Here is an 18,184-nt window from a genome sequence, read left to right as displayed (position 1 = left end):
TATGTGCAATGTGTACATTCATTCTTTAGGCAAATAATGATGGAAATCTGGGGATTCTTGATGGGCCGTTGAGATTCTAATGGGATCTGGTATAAACACATTTTAGCAGGTAAATAATCTTTACAATGCCCTGGCTGCAAATAGAATCTGGATGCTAAGCACAATACTTAATATGATGTTAATAGACATTTGCCTCTTAAAAAAATATTTTTCTAGGTATATGATCTTGTCATCAGTGAACAGAGATAATTTGACTTCTGTTTTTCCAATTTAGATGACTTTTATTTCTTTCTATTGCCAGATAGTTTTACGTTAAATAAGAGTGGTGAACATGGGCATCCTTGCCTTGTTCCAGTTCTCAGGGGAATTGCTTTCAACTTTCCCCATTCAGTATAAGGTCGACTGTGGGTTTCTTATATATGGCTTCTATTATTTTCAGGTATGCTCCACCTATGCCTTGTTTGTTGAGGGTTTTTATCATGAAAGTTTGCTGGATTTTAGGAAATGCTTTTTCTGCATCTTTCTTTTGTTCTTAGATATTTTTATTCGGTGAATCATGTTTATTGATTTATGTATGTTAAACCATCCATGCATCCCTAGAATATAGCCTATTTGATTATGGTGAATTATCTTTTTGATGTGCTTTTGGATTTGCTTTACTAGTATTTTGCTGAGAATTTTTGTATCTATGTTCATTAGGGGTATTGGACTAGAATTTTCTTTTTTGTTGTGTCCTTGCCTGATTTTGGTATCAGGGTAATACAGCATTCATAGAATGAATTAGGGAGAGATCCCTCTTTCCTGATTTTTTGGAATAGTTTCAGTAAGACTGGCACCAGCTTTTATTTGTATGTCTGGTGAAATTCAGCTCCTGGACCTGATTAGTGACTTCAGTAAAGTCTCCAAGATACAAAATCAAAATACATAAATCAATAGCATTTATATATCTCAATAACATTTAAGCTGAGAACCAAATTAAGAACTCAATCTCATTTACAATAGCCACACAGACACACACACTAATCTAGAAATATATGTTAAAGAAGACAATGAAAGATCTCTATAATGACAACTACCAAATACAAATAAAAGTACTTGTAGACAACACAAATAAATGAAAAAATATCTCATGCTTATGAAATGGAAGAATCAATGACCATACTGCCTGTAGCAATCCACAGATTCAACACAATTCCTATCAAAGTACCAATGTCATTTTTCACTAAGTTAGGAAAGACAACCCTAAAGTTCATATGGAACAATAACAAAATGCCTGACTAGCCAGAGCACTCCTACGGAAAAAAAAATCTACAGGCATCACATTACCTGACTTCAAATTACTTTATAAGGCTATAACTAACTAAAACAGTATGATACTGGCACAAAAATAGATACACCGATCAAGTGAACACAACAGAGAACACAGAGATAAAGCCAAAGCCACAAACCTACAACCAATCAATCTTCAGTAAAGTAAAGAAAAATAAACAATGGGGAAAGGACAGTCTATTAAACCAATAGTGCTGGAAAAACTGGCTAGCCATATGCAGAAGAATGAAAATGGACCACTATCTCTCACCATATACAAAAATTAAACCAAGGTGGATGAAAGACCTAAACATGAGACCTAAAACTGCAAATGTCCTAGCAGAAAACCTAGGAAAAACTCTTCTGGATATTAGCCTAGCACAGAATTTATGATGAAGACCTCCAACGTTTGCAACAAAACCAAAAATATACAAATGGGACTTAATTAAAGTAAAAAGCTTCTGCAGGGCACAATAATCATCCTACAGAGTGGGAGAAAATATTTACAAATTATGTATCTGACAAGGATTAATATCCAGAATTTAAAAAGAATTCAATCAACTCAGCAAACAAACAAACAAAAAACCACTATAAACTGGGCAAAGAACATGAACAGACGTTTCTCAAAAGAAGAAATACAAGTGACCAACAAACATTTGAAAAAATACTTAATATCAGGAATCATCAGAGAAATGCAAATTAAAACCACACTGAGATACCATCTTACACCAGTCAGAATGGTTTTTATTAAAAAGTCAAAAAACAAGATGTTGACATGGATGTGGAGAAGAGAGAGCAATCATACACTGTCAGTGGGAATATAACTTAGATCAAACTCTATGGAAAACAGTATGGAGATATTTCTGAGAGCTAAAAATAGAACTAATACATTTGACCCAGTAATTTCATTACTGGGTATCTATCCAAAGGTAAAAAAAAAAAAAGGTGTTATATTAAAAAGATACCGGCATTCATATGTTATTACACTATTCACAATAGCAAACTCATGGAACCAACCTAAGTGTCTGCAAAAAGTTGATTGGATAAAGAAAATATGTTATATATACATGATGGAACACTACGCAGCCATAAAAAAGAATAAAATCATATCCTTTTCAGAAACATGGGTGGAGCAGGGGGCCATTATTATAAGTAAACTAATACAGAAGCAGAAAATCAAATATCACATATTCTCACTTATAAGTGGAACTAAACAAAGGGTACATATGGACATAAAGATAAGGAAAATAGACTCTCAGGACTCTAAAGGGTGTAGGGTAGGGGAGTTGAAAAATCACCTCTGGGTACAATGTCCAATATCTGGGTGATGAGTACACTAGAAACCCAGCCTCCACTATTACACATGTAATACTCTCATATAACAAACAAGCACATGTACTCCCTGAATCTAAACTAAAAATAGAATTTAAACAAAGGAATCTTCATTTCTTTTGAATGGACTTTGGAGGATCTGGACTTAGTGACCATAGACGCCAAAAAAGTGTATATCCCGTAAGGATAGAAATACATTAAAAATGGCCTTAAAATTGGTGACACATGAATTAGGCAGTAATTATAAATAAGTATTGTTTTTAGTACTAAAAGAGCAGAGTCTATTTTTAAGTTTAAGTATGCCCCATTTTAATTTCATTACTGTGCATTAATTTGCTTTCTCAGTTCCAATTTTATTAGTTCAGAAGATACTGTGTTTATTATATTGTTTTCACCTTGCTAAGGCATTTTAAACTGTCATTGAAGATTCTACAATTGGTGTTATGTTTTGTATAAACTTCTCTCCTATCTGCTGCTTTTCTTTTTTGACTAAATATATCTAAAAAGTAAAGGGCCATAGAAAATACAGCCATAAGCTGCGTAACACCATTCTGGTCAATGATGGATGGCATATAGAATGGTGGTCCCATAAGACTACAATGGAGCTAAAAAATTCCCATCGCCTAATATTTACTATGCTGTGTTTTTATCGTTAATTTAGAGTGTGCTCCTTCTACTTATTAAAATATAAATGAACTATGAAACAGCCTGAGGCAGGTCCTTCAGGAGGTATTCCAGAAGAAGGCATTGCTATCATAGGAGATGACAGTTCCATGCCTGTTATTGCCCCTGAAGAACTTCTAGTGGGAGAAGATGTGGAAGTTGAAGATAGTAATATTGAGGATCCTGATACTGTGTAAGCCTCGGCTAATATGTGTGTTTGTATCTTAGTTTTTAACAAAAAAAAGCTTAAAAAGTTAAAATAACAAAATAGATAAAGGCTTATAGAATAAGAATATAATGAAAGAAAATATTTTTGTACAGCTCTGCAATGTGTTTCTGTTTTAAGCTAAGTGTTATTATAAAAGAGTCAAGCTGGGCATGGTGGCTCACGCCTGTAATCCCAGAACTTTGAGAGACCGAAGAGGGCAGATCATGAGTTCAGGAGTTCCAGACCAGCCTGGCCAATATGGTGACATCCCGTCTCTACTAAAAATACAAAAATTTGCCAGGCGTGGTGATGCACTCCTGTAGTTCCAGCTACTCGGGAGGCTGAGGCAGAAGAATTGCTTGAACCTGGGAGGCAGAGGTTGCAGTGAGCTGAGACTGTGCCACTGTACTTTAGACTGGGTGACAGAGTGAGACTCTGTCTCAAAAAAAAAAAAAAAGTCAAAAGGTTAAATAATTATATTTTTCAGAATTCTTCATTTGCTTCCACCAAGTCTGATGACAATAATGATGACAATGGTGATGAGGATGGACACAGTCATTTAAATCTCATCTGAACCTCATCTTTTTACTGTAATCTCATTTGTCAACTGCATCCTGGCTTCACTTCTATAGAGCTGTGTTCTATGCTCCTCCCAGATCTCCAGGCTTCCTTCACAGGCCCATTTTCTAGCTTTTATGGAGATTCTAAAAGAAATTATGCTGGGACTACTATGGCAGTTTTTCCTAAAGAGGTGTATGTGTCTGCTAGGCTCTAGGATAGCCCATTGCCAAAAGCTAACTGGTGAAGGGTCATGAAATCCCAGCTCCCTGCCACAAGGCACAACAAAATCTATGATGGAATTTATGCTCCAGAGCTCCCTATACAACTAGGCAAAGAGCACGATTTCACCTAAAGTCACATTATTGTTGGTCTCTTTCTTTCTTCTTCTGCTTCTTTACCAATTTCTCCTAAGTGCAATCATTTAATCAGTTATTTGCCCAAAATTTTTGTCTCAGGGTCTGTTTTTAGGAAAGTCTTGTGCCAAAAATGATGAATTACCTACCACTTTTGGATTACTATTTTTATTTTAAAGCAGTTATTGCTACTTAACACACACACATACACACAAGTTATTTTTTCTTTCTTGCAGCATGAGTAGTATGGCCTTTAAACGTAGCACTTGAGTTTTAAATTCTCTACTATGACCCCCACTGTGGCAATGTCCTTCTCCATGGGATGTGAAATCCATGAGGCTAAGGAGATGTCCCCATTAGAGCTAGCCCCACCTATACATCATGTTCCAGATGCATGGGACCTTGGAAATTCCTAATTAGATGGATAATTACCCAGTTCCAGTTCTAGAGCATACATGGGCTTCTTCCCCACTGTCTCTTTCCCCAAGAGTAGGCTAGTGAAATGTTTTCAATTCTTTCTTGGTTAGAGGAGGGCCAAAGTTGTATCTGTTTGTAGCGGAGGCAGTATATAGGGAGAGGCTCAACATAGGCACATGGGGCTCCTCTTGGTAAGATGCAATGGGAGGTTGATGAGAAGGGCTGGGAGAGAATGCAGGGTTCTACTTCAGCCTTTGCCTAGGAACCTGTAGATGTAATGAGTAATTGAGAAGAAGGAAAAAGACATTACAAAATTGTGAACTATAAATAGAAAAGTACAATTTGTAAAAGCTTATAAAAGACCACTCACATTGTCTTTCCTTTAGTGTAATAATTCATTGAATATTAAACATAAAGTTTTACTTTCAATATTTATCATAATTGATTAATAATGCAAGTTGAGATTATCCACCCCCATCACCTCAGTTTTACCATCTTTACCATAGAGTAAGTAAGTATACGTGTGTGTGTTTGTGTGTGTGTGTGTATGTGTGTGCATATGTGTGTTTCCAAGATCTACTGGGCTATCACTTGCAGATACTAGGATTAGATTCATACCTAACTCTGCCGTGTAGTAAAGACCAGGTTCCTCCATTCATGGTAAATGGCCAGTCAGGTCCAAGGTAAGTACACAAGTATCACTTCGGCTGTCTCTGGGTTTCTTTTTTTTTTTTTTATTTCCTGTCAGAAGACGTGACTGGCCCACCAGCATCAGAAGCTTAAGTAAGTCAGGGTACAATTGCTTACTCTTCTCCCGCAGTTGAGACTTACTTAAATTCTGTGAGACTTTAGTAAGGCGGCTCTTTAGGAACACTGCATTGTGTGGGGGGTGGGGGGGTGAGGCACCCCTCTTTTAAGGAACCAATTTAAAACTGCCCTCTGTTGTTAAATATTATGACATTAATTATATTCCAACTCAATCTGCCTACTGGGAATGGATAAAGAGACAAACAAATCAAAAACCCAACACACAAACAAAAACCCAACACACAAAGAGTAAAAACTCTTAATGTGGTGTCAATGTCATTGCCTGTGGTAAGTAGGAGAAAGTAAAGATTCAAATGAGATCTGCCAGACTATACTACAGTCTTTGTGTTACGGTACAGAATGGGTGTGATTATGAGAGAATTAAAAGACAAATTGGAAAAAAGAAAGACAACCACAGAGGCAAAAGAGTAACGTTTGATTTTTTGATTTTTTTTGCACCATGTATAGACTTTTAAGGTATAATAACTAATAGGTTGTATGGTGTGGTACTGCCCCTTAAAAACATTGATCAGAAACTCTGTGTGTGATATCACATTTGAATAGAGTCCAAGTATATCATTGTAAACATCTTTATAGTATGTGAAAAAGGTTCTATTCAGTTAAATATTTTAGGAATAGCAATCTAGAATTCTCTAACAGATCAATATCTTAATAGATAATATGTTGTCTCATGCTTCTGTCAGCTTTCTGGTGAAAATTGCTTAATATATAAAGTGTTAACACCACTTTTGTAGAAATATGCATTTGAATAAGAAAAGAAAACAGTACACTGATTCAAGTGCACAAAACTCTTTCCAGAAAAGAGATTTGAGATATGTCTTAATAATAGGAAATATGTCGCATTCTTAAAACATAAGAATTTTCATTTTGACAGCTTTTATATAATTAATTCTCAAACATTTTAATAGCTAATAAAGTTAAAAGAAGCTATACTGATATTCTGGAATATTTTATATCAGTATATAAAAAACTTGAAATAGTGTTAAAGCTTAATAGCATTCAAATAATAAAAAATAAATCACCCCAATTATAAGGATTTTTTATCACTGTAATTAAAATTTACAAAATATTACCACTGTGTAATTATGATAATGGCAATAAAAGACAATTTTCTTCAACAAGGTCACTCTTTGAAAGTTAGCTACAGTAATATAGTCATCATTTGAGGGAATTAGTTTCCAAAATTTCTATCAACTGTGTAAGTGCTTTTACTGTCTTTTTTCTGTGTAGTTTTTTAAAGAAACATGCACTCACTTAGAAGAGCAAAAACATATTATCTGTTTTTAAAATTTATAATATTTATTTTCAGAGTGTATGTACATCTATATGTGCATTTTAACTTTGAATAGGGATTTTTCTGGATTTTCTTCCATGTAAAATAATCAACCAAAGCCTATCTTGGAAGGCTGTGCTTTCCTTGTAATACTGTTTTATCAAAACTGCACAAATTGTATCATGACTTTAAGCATCTGAAGTAAACCAATTTATCCATATACCAAATAAACCACAGGCAATTGTAAGGTTCTCTGTGTGGTAGATGTGCCGACTTCCCCTTTGGTGCCCCTTCTTTTTATTCCCTTCCTCTCTGCCTCAGAATTTATTTCTACATTTGTCCTGCTTCTGAATTATTTCTAGTGACGTTTCCTGGTTTGATGTTTGGACCTAGAACATTCAGCTTCTCTAGCTTTGTCTTTTGGGTATTCAAGCACTTAAGTTGTAGGGATCCTTAATCTCTTTCCAATCATTTCCACCCTAGGTATCAGTCATGCCAGTCTGAGTTCAGGCTTCTGAGAGGCCACCCAGATAGCAGTCTGCTCAATTGGTACTTCTACTGGTATTGCACAATCCACCTAAGAGGCTTAAGCTCAAAAGTTCAATTATTCTTTCTCAAGCCTTGATCATCTAAAAGGTGCTCACTGTTAATTTAGTGGTTTTCAAAAACTTACTGCTACACGTACTCTGACATCATTCCTAGTTCTTTGAAGAATGATGTTAGTATTTTGATAGGAATTGTATTCAATCTGTAGATTGCTTCTGGCAGTATGGTCATTTTCTCAACATTGTTTCTACCCATTCATGGGCATAGGATGTGTTTCCATTCATTTCTGTCATTTATGATTTTTTTTCAGTGGTATTTTGTAGTTTTTCTTTTAGAGATCTTTCACCTCCTTGGTTAAGTATATTCCTAAGTATTTTTTTTTCAGTTGTTATAGAAGAGACTCAGTTCTTGATTTTATTCTCAACTTGGTCATTGTTGGTATATAGCAGTGCTACTGATTTGTGTACATTGATTTTGTATCCTGAGACTTTACTGAATTTGTTTATCTGATATAGGAGCTTTTGGGATGAGTCTTTAGGGTTTTCTAGGTATAAGTTCATATCATCAGTGAATAGTGACAGTTTGACTTCCTCTTTTTCCAGTTTGGATGCTCTTTGTTTTTTCTCTTGTCTGTTTGCTCTGGCCAGGTCTTCCAGTAGTATATTGAATAGAAGTGATGAAAATGGCATCCTTGTCTTTTTCTAGTTCTCAGGGAGCTAAATAATGGTTACATTTTACTTAAAATGATAAAGCTTTCAACTTTTCCCCATTTAGTATGATGTTGGCTGTGGGATTTACCATATATGGCATTTATTATTTTGAGGTAAGTTCCACTATTCCTGTTTTGTTGAGGGCTTTTATCATAAAGGAGTACTAGAATTTTATCCAGTGCTTTTTCTGCACCTGTTGAGATGATCATATGATTTTTTTTTAATTCTGTTTATGGGATGTATCACATTTATTGACTTGCCTATGTTAAGCCATTTCTGCATCCCTGGTATGAAACCAACTTGATCATAATGCTGTTGGATTCAGTTAGCCAGTATTTTGTTGAGGATTTTTGCATCTATGTTCATCAGGGATATTACTCTGTAGTTTTTGTTGTTGTTGTTGCTGTTATGTCCTTTCCTTCTTTTGGTATTAGGGTGATACTGGCTTCATATAGGGAGGAATTTAGGGAAGATTACCTCTTTATCTATCTTTTGTAATAGTTTCAGTAAAACTGGTACCAATTCTTCTTTGAATGTCTGATATAATTCGGTTGTGAGTCCATCTGGTAATGGACTTTTTTGTTGGCAATTGTTTAATTGCTCTTTCAATCTTGTTACATTTTACTGGACTGTTCAGAATTTCTATTTTTTGTCAGATTTAATCTAGGAGGGTTGTATATTTCCAGGAATTTTTCCATTTCCTCTACATTTTCTAGTTTGTGCATGTGAAGATGTTCATAGTAGCCTTGAATTATCTTTTGTATTTCTGTGGTATTGCTTGTAATGTCTCCAGATTTATTTCTAATTGAGCTTATTTGTATCTACACTCTTCCTTTCTTGGTTAATTTCACTAATGATCCATCAATTTTGTTAATCTTTTCAAAGAACTAGCTTTTTCTTTTATTTATCTTTTATATATATTTTGTTGTTGTTGCTGTTGTTTCAATTTCATTTAGTTCTGTTCTGATTTTTGTTACTTCTTTTCTTCTGGATTTGGATTGTTTGTTCTTGTTTCTCTAGTTCCTTGAGGTATGATATTAGGTTGTCTCTTTGTGCTGTTTTAGACTTTTTGATGTAGGCATTTAACGTTATGAAATTTCCTCTTAGCGCTTCTTTTGCTGTATCCAAGAGGTTTTGATAAGTGATGTCACTATTATCATTCAGTTCAAATAATATTTTTTAATTTCCATTTTGATTTTATTGTTAACCTAAAGGTCATTCAAAGGCAGATTATTTAATTTCTATGTATTTGTGTACTTTTGAAGGTTCCTTTGTCGCTGATTTTCATATATATTCCACTGTGGTCTGAGAGGATACTTGATATGATTTCTAGTTTCTTAAATTTATTGATACTTTTTTTATAGCCTATCATATGGTCTACCTTGGAGAATCTTCCATGTGCTGGTGAGAAGAATTTATGTTCTGCAGTTTTGGGGAAGAATGTTCTGCAAATATCTGTTAAGTGCATTTGTTCTAGGATATAGTTTAAGTCCATTGCTTCTTTGTTGACATTCTGACTTGATGGCCTGTCTAGTGCTGTTAATGGATATTGAAGTCCCCTATTATGATTGTGTTGTCGTCTATCTCATTTCTTAGGTCTAGTAGTAATTGTTTTATATATTTGGGAGCTCCAGTGTTAGGTGCTTATATTTTAGGATTGTGATATTTTCCTGTTGGACTAACCCTTTTACCATTATATAATGTTCTTCTTTGCCTCTTTTACTGTTGTTGCTTTCAAGTCTGTTTTATCTGATATAAGAGTAACTACTCCTGCTCACTTTCAGTCCATTTGCATGGAATATCTTTTTTCACCTCTTTACCTTAAGTTTATGTAAGTCCTTACTTGTGAGGTGTACCTCTTGAAGATAGCAGAGACTGGGAGAGCTGGGAGAAACCCCAGGTATGTCTGCAGTGGTGTACCGGGGGGAACAAGGACTCCTGCTCCAAGGCTCTTCACGATCCCAGAGGTTGCCTTCCTATTGGGGTAGAGGTGCACTGTGATTGTGCTTCTGCTGTAAGAAACATCTCACCAGTGGAAAGATCTGGGACTCAAAGCCTGTCATTCAGATTCTTTTGTCTCACAGGGTGTTCCCTGAATGTGGTGCTCTCCCCTTTCTCCTAGGAACGGGACTTCCTGAGAGACAACTGCAGTGATTATTATTGCTCTTCTGGGTCTAGCCATCCAATGGGTCTACCAAACTCCAGGCTGTTGCTCGGGAATGTCTGCAAGGGATCCAGTGATGTGACCGTTTTCAAGTCTCCCATCAGTGGCTACCGGCACCTGCTCTGATGGAAGTGGCAGGGGAGTAATGTAGATTCTGTGAGAGTTCTTGGTTGTAGATAGGCTTAGTATGCTGGCTTTCTTGAATGCTGGTTATACTAGTAGTGAATTTGTCACCTGAACAGATTCAGGACCTCTGGCTAGCCAGGATGTTGCAGGCAGTGGTATTAGCTAAGATACCACAGCTGTTCTCTCCTTCCTAGGAGCAGTGTTATTCCATGGAGAGGTGCTGTAATGGCCTGAGTTGGTTGGTTTCCAGCCAGGATGTGGTGTTTGCAAGAGCACCAGCTGCAGTAGTAGCAGTGGGATATGAGCTTGCCATAAGGTGCCCATGGGAAGTATTCTGGTTTCTCAGGTGATGGGTGGGGCCATAAATCGCCTAAAAGCTTATGTCCTTTGTGTTAAGCTACCAGGGTGGGTGGAGAAATACCACCAGGTAGGGACAGAGTTTTGCGGATCTCAGCTCAGACTCTCCTTGGGCAGGGTCTGATGTGGGAGGCCACTGTGGGAGATAAGGGCTGGTTCTCACGCCACTGGGGTAATGTTGCAGAGGCAGTATAACTGTCTCTGCTGTGCACAAGAGTTCACAAAGGGATTGAAGAGTAGCCGGCAGCAGTAAGCCTCACCTGGCTCCCATGCAGTTGGCAAGGCTGATCTTGTTCCTTCAGTGCTCAGCTAAAAGTGCCAGGTGTAGATCCAGGCAGCCAGCAGACAGGAATCAGACCTTCCTCAGGGTTCCATGCAAATAGCAAGCATGGTTTTCAAATCATATACCTTCCCATTTGCTCATAAGGCCAGGTGCCTGGCTCCTGTGTGCATATCTGCAGTACTTCCTGCTTACCCCACGGTTCTATTAAAGAAAATTTGTCCCCACTCGAAATTATATCACAAAATTCAGCTGGAAGCTTCTTTCACTCTGCAACTTCTCCCTGAGTTCACTGGCTGCCTTCTGCAAGGACTCCTGTGAGACAGAATCAGGAATGGCTTCCCTGGTCTTGCACTGGAGACTGGGAATGCCTACAAGGCACTTCATGCTGCTGCTTCTACTTTTATATTTCCTGCCACTCCCTAAATCAGTTCCAGCTTTGGGTAGGATTGAGTTCTTCTCCCATGGTCTGGATTTTCATATTTCCCAGTGGGGAATGTGTGCTCAGAGGCAGGTTTACCCCTTCACACTCTGGAAACTTATAGTTTTTTGCCTATCTTAAGAAGTAGACTGTAGCCTGCTACTTCTTTCAAAGGGTCTGTGGGTTCTTTCAGTTTTTCTGGTAAGTTCCTGTGATGGTTCTTGGGAAAAATATATTCACAGTGTGAATCTCTGCCCACTATTCTGTCCTTCCAAGTGGGAGAGGTATAACACTGCCTCCTATCTGCCGTCTTGAAGAGACTAGTCCCTCAAAAGCCTGAATGCTGAGTAGCCCATATTTTACCTCTGTTTAACCTAATATCAACTGTCTATCCATTTTAAACTACCATATTAATTTTCTTGCAATTTTGAAATAATACTTGAAGATTATGATCAAAGCATGAAATTTCAGTTCCAGACAAAATGTGGTGCATTCCATTTTATTCCTTCTGCTAATCCCAACAAAACTTTTAGGATAAGACACATAAGTTACCCACCAGAGAGCTCTGAAAAGTGAAGAAAATAAGGCAGATTGACTAGGGACCTTGGTTAACCTGGTAGTGAATTCTCTAATTTTTTTCTTGCCTCATATGTATTTTGACCTGAGTGTTAGAAAAGGCCACAACTTATAAATGTTAGTAGATAAAAGAAATAATCCCACAAAAAGACTGCTTTCTCTAGCCAAAGGAGAACAAAATTGGTAGGCCAGTTGGGTAGAAAACCTTTAGCTACATCTGCTCCAGGCAACACCATGAAAATAGCCATGCTCTGTCTCCACTCTAGCATGTGCTACAGCAGCAGAGGCCATTGGCAGAACCTAACTTTCATCCCAACCCCCACTAAATAGACGGGGTCAACTATCTCTGGGGTGCCTCTGAGCTAAGTCTTGTCTTTCCTTCTTTCCTTCAGTAATCTGATCTTTTCAGACTGGACCAGTATGGGGAGCTAAATAATGGTTACATTTTACTTAAAATGATAAAACATTGATGCTAGTGAATTGACATAAACTATGCATGCATATGCAATCCCTAGAATAACCATTTTAAAAATATAAAAAACGATACTCAGTACTAAACTACTGTTTAACATGAATAAAACACATTCATGTAACTCACAGAAAGACAAGAAAGGAGAAATAAGAAGAAAAAAAGGGGGAAGACACAGGAAGCAAATAATAAAATGGCAGACAAATTATATCAATTATTATGTTGGTTGTAAAAAGCCTAAGCCCATCAATAAAAAAGACAAAGATTGGCAGAAGAGAATAAAAATGATGACAACTTTATGATGGCCAAAATAACTTTACTTCAGATTTAAAGGTTAAAGGCTATGAAAAATTATATACTATACAAACGCTAAGAAAAAAAGTTGGAATGGCAATATTGACATCAGATAAAGTACACTTCAGAGCAAAAGAAGCATCGGGGTGAAAAAAGAGGTTACATATTGATAAGAGAGTCAATTCACCAAGAAGATATAACAATCTTTAATATGCACCAAACCATACCACTCTAAAATAAATGAAGCAAGCCAGGTGCGGAGGCTCACGCCTGTAATCCCAGCACTTTGGAGGCCGAGGTGGGTGGATCACCTAAGGCCAGGATTTTAAGACCAGCCTAACCAACATGGTGAAACTGCATTTCTACTAGAATTACAATATTAGCCAGGCATGGTGGCAGGTGCCTGTAATCCCAGCTACTTGGGAGGCTGAGGCAGGAGAATCACTTGATCCCGGGAGGTGGAGGCTGCAGTGAGCCGAGGTCATGTCACTGCACTCCAGCCTGGGTGACAGAGTGAGACTCCATATCAAAATAAATAAATAAATAAATACATAAATAAAGAATCACAACTGATAGACCTGAAAGAATAAATAGACAAATGTATAATTTTGGTTAGGAACTTCCACACCATTTATTCAGTAATTGGTAAAGCCACTAGGCAAAAATTCAACACAAATATAAAAAAACTGAAAAACATCATCAACCAATGGATTCTAAATATTTATAAAACACTCTGCTGAAGAACAAGACAATAAATATTCTCTTCATAACTGCAGGAGACATTTATCAAGATAGACCATACTATGAGTCATAAAATAAACTTCAACTATTTTAAATAATTAAAACAATACCAATATGTTCTCTAATCATAAAGAGTTGAAACTGAAAGGAAATAACAAAAAGGTAATAAAAAAAATCTCTGACATCCTGGATATTAATAAATGTTTAAATATTTTTGGGTCAAACAGGGAGTCTCTAGAGTAGTAAAACATGTATTTATTGAACTGAATGATAATGAAAGTACAACATATCAAGATCTATGGGACTAAGTGAAAGTGAGCACTAGAGGAAAAATTTATTGCGCTAAATACTTAAGTTAGAAAGGAACAAGGTCTCAACTCAATACTCTAAGCTTCCACCACAATAAACTAGAAAACTAACAAAATACATCAAAGTAAATGTAATAAAAAAGATAATAAAAATCATGACAGTCATTAATGAAATGAAGACAGAAAAATCAATGAAAAAAATCAGTCAAACTAAAAGCTGATTCTCTGAGAAATCTATAAAAATTTATACTTACAAATAAAAAAAAGAGAGTAAAAAAATGACCAATATCAAGAATGAAAAAGGAGATATCACTATAGATCATACAAGCACTAAAAGTATAACAAGGGAATACTACAAATCACATTTTCAGATAAAAATCAGATGATATAACTGAAATTAAGCAGTTCTTTGAAAACGATAAACTACTATAATTCATCCACGATAAAACAGATAAGTGGAATAGTCTTAGATTTATTAACAAAATTAAGTTAGTAATTAAAAGTTCCTCTATAGTCTCCAGTGTCAAATAGTTTTACTGGTGAATGTTACCAAATATTACAAAATAATTAGTATCACTTCTAACAAATTTCTTCCAGAAGATAAAAAAAGGGAGTAGTACCCTTTCCAACTCATTTTATAAAGCCATTTTTACTCTTATAACAAAACTAGACGAAGGCAGTACAAAAAAAAATGAAAGAAGAAAGAAAAAAGAAAAACACTGACGATATCCTTCATAATGATACCTTCAAAAAATTTCAAAAAAATATTAGAAAATCGACATTGCATTATATACAAAATACATTGGGACTAAGTGTGGTTTATTCAGAGAATGCAAAACTTGTTCCAGATTAAAAAGTAAATTAATATAATTCACCTCAATAATAGTCTAAAGAAGGAAAAAATGATCATTACAATTAATATAGAAGAAATATTTGGAAAAACTCTACGTCGCTCCTGATAAAAATTCTCAACAAACAACAGAAGGTAGTATTTTCAACTTTATCCTCAACATCTACAAAAAAAACACAGATAACATCATTCTTTATGGTGTAAGATTGTATGCTTTACCCCTAAAACTGGAAACAAGGAAAGAATGTCTGCTTTGACTTCTTCTATTCAGCACAGTGATGGTAACCCTAGCCAGTTCAGTAAGGCAAAAAGAGGAAATGAAAGACATACAGATTGGAAAAGAGAAAACGACCCTGTCCCAATGTGTAGATAATTTGATTGTCCATGTAGAAAATCCAGCAGAATTTACATAAGAAAAAGTATCTTCTAGAGCTAATTAATGAATTTAACAACATTACAGATACAAGATCAATATATGAAATTCAATCAAAATTCTCTATTATGGCAATAAAAAACAGAAAGTAAAAATAAAGTACACAATACCATTAATAATTGGTCCAAAAATTTAAAATACTTAAATACTAATCTGTAAACATGTACAGGATCAGTATACTAAAAACTATGGTAATGTTATAATTTTAAAAAGACCTAAATAAATGGAGGTATATCAAATTCATGGATTGGAAAATCCGCATAGTAAAAGTATTAATGCTCCCCAAATTTATCTACAAGTTTAACAATATTCCTATCAAAAGTCCTAGCTGGATTATATGTATATATATATATAAGTTGGTTTTAAAATGTATATAGAAACGGAAAGAACTAGGCCGGGCATGGTGGCTCACGCCTGTAATCTCAGCACTTTGGGAAGCTGAGGTGGGCAGATCACTTGAGGTCAGGAGTTCCAAACCAGTCTGGCCAACATGGTGAAACACCATCTCTAGTAAAAATACACAAAAAACTAGCCTGGTGTGGTGGCAGGTGCCTGTAGTCCCAGCTACTTGGGAGGCTGAGGCAGGATAATCACTCGAACCCGGAAGGCGGAGGTTGGAGTGAGCAGAGATCATGTTACTGCACTCTAGCCTAGGCAACAAAAAAGGGAAGGGGAGGGGAGCGGAGGAGGGAGGAAGGGAAGGGAAATGGAAGAACTAAAATTGTCAAAACAATTTTGAAAAAGAAGAATAAAGCTGAAAAAGTCACACTAATCTTATTTTAGGACTTACTGTAAAGGTACAATATTAAAAGCTGTGTGACTGATTTTGGTGGAGGATCGATACAGAGATCAATGGAACAGAACAGAAATTCTTATATTCTATTCTGAAAGAGAGTCACACTAGTAGGGCCAAATGACTTTTGACAGAATTACAAAACCATAAAATTAATTCAATGGAGGAGGTAGGGCCTTTTCAACAAATCATGTTGGAACATTTGAGCATTAGGAGGAAAATTTTAAAAACCCTTCCAAAGCTAAATACTCAAAAACCTTTAAACTAAACCTCAAACCTTGTACGAAAGTTAAATTGTGAAGACTATAGATCTAAACATAAAATGTATAAAAGTTTAAGGAAATATAAGAGAGAATCTTTGTGAATTATTAGTTTTTTTAGGATGAGTATGAGTACATATATAATGGATACAAATCTCTCCTTTTCCATCATTTTTTATAGAGACTTACTTCCTCTCTGAAGTTTTCCTGACGTTGAAATATACCACAACAAACTCAGTACTGTCAAAAGTACTGGTTCTTAAATACAGAGCACATGTGGGTATTGTTTCCATGGAGGTTCCATATTTTCTATGGTAACATCTCTGTTTTAATGTCTGCTGACTGTATTCATGAACGGGACTGGTGTTCTGTGTGTGTGTGTGTGTGTGTGTATGTACAAGTGTGTATGTTGTGTAGTGATGTTGGGCAGATAAAATAAAAACCAGAAGACTGAGTGAATAACCAAGAGAAGAAATTTGCACGTTTTCCTTTCACTTCGGCAAACATTCATTTTCTGGGGAAGGAATGACATTACTGTATTTTTTTATCGTTTAAAAAATGTTAAGTCATAATCTTCCTGATGGCAAAGAAACAGTTTCTTCTAGATTGGGATATTTCTGTAGTGCAACACTTTAAAAGATTAGGCATTTACATTACTTGGGCATTTAGTCCATTTGACCTAAGTAACTCACCATTCTGAGAAGCTCAATAATTGTGGAACTTAGCTTATGGACTAAAATATGTCCTTCACATTCTCAATCACGGGAATTCAATTTAAATTCAAACAAGTTATCTTTGACAATATCACCAAATAATATTGCAAAGATATGTTTGTTTAGAGGACTACTATGTTAATTAGTCCTGTGGTTGGTATTTTCTTGCTGTTTCTGAATTCTTTAACAGAGAAAACAAACAAGCAATCAGAGAGAGAGAGAATGGGACTTTTATTACTGCTGCTGCGCTTTTATCTGAATGTAGCTGCATAAGCACGATAGCAAGGGGGAATTACTCTGAATGATCCTTAGATAGTTATTATATGGAATGACCCCCATGTCAGGTCGGTGCAAATAAGGGAAACTTGGCTAGTCTTAACCTAGAAAGCTATAAAGTACGTCAAACGGATGCCTCTCAAGTGTGCAATAAAAATGCATCTTCACTGCTGCTAGCAATATTGTCCCTGACCTCAGAGCATTATTGAAGAGCGACCCACTGAATGTTTTAATTTCCACATAAACTGCTGATCATGATGGTTCAGACACGCCAGATGGCAGCAGGAGTGATAAATGATGTTGATGCCTCAGGAGAAATGAGCTACTAAAATTATATTATATTCAGCTGCAATTTTAAAACATGCAATACAATTAAAAGACTTATCCATAGCAAATGCTACACCTCTTTATTTAACGGTGTTAGATGAGGAGACTAATGTTTGCATTTGTTTTGTAGAGGATGCTTTTTTATATTCCTTAGATATCACTCCAGTGGAAGAGTTCATCAGATAGTGAGAATCTCACCTATAAATCTCAAGCATGCCTGCCAAGGAGTCTCAAGTCAGGAACAGAGGAGAAAATAGCCATCAAATAGGGCGTCTTGTCAGTATTATTCAAATGTAATAGAAAATCAAATTATAATAAAACATTTAACATACCAAGAAACATTCTATGGGAAATACTGAGACAGCTTATTCCTGAATTAGTATTGTGAGATCATAATGTTCACATCATTTAAGGATCTGGTTGATCTGATAAAGATTCTATCGGATGATGAGCAGATTCTTATTTTTAAATGAATGAAATAATGTACTTTGTATGTTTACTGTTGTTTAATTGAAAGCATGCGGTGGCTAGCATCGCTATTTTATTTTAGTTCCTCACTCAGCAAATGAGTATAGAACTGACTTTTTCTTTCTCTAA

The 18,184-nt window shown here is 35.8% G+C and overlaps 1 long non-coding RNA gene across 1 annotated transcript in view; it reads left to right on the top strand.

Moving 5' to 3' along the window:
* The window catches only part of LINC02174 (long intergenic non-protein coding RNA 2174), a 36,081-nt gene extending 18,159 nt beyond the window's left edge, over nucleotides 1-17,922 (top strand). The window contains exons 3-5 of the long non-coding RNA NR_147157.1: nucleotides 30-109; nucleotides 16,453-16,547; nucleotides 17,742-17,922. This is a non-coding gene — a long non-coding RNA (long intergenic non-protein coding RNA 2174). The remainder of the gene's footprint in view (nucleotides 1-29; nucleotides 110-16,452; nucleotides 16,548-17,741) is intronic.
* Nucleotides 17,923-18,184: the final 262 nt, after the last annotated feature.

Source organism: Homo sapiens, chromosome 4 (assembly GCF_000001405.40).
Source record: "Homo sapiens chromosome 4, GRCh38.p14 Primary Assembly".
NCBI lineage: Eukaryota > Metazoa > Chordata > Mammalia > Primates > Hominidae > Homo > Homo sapiens.
This window is presented reverse-complemented; position numbering and strand designations above follow the sequence as displayed.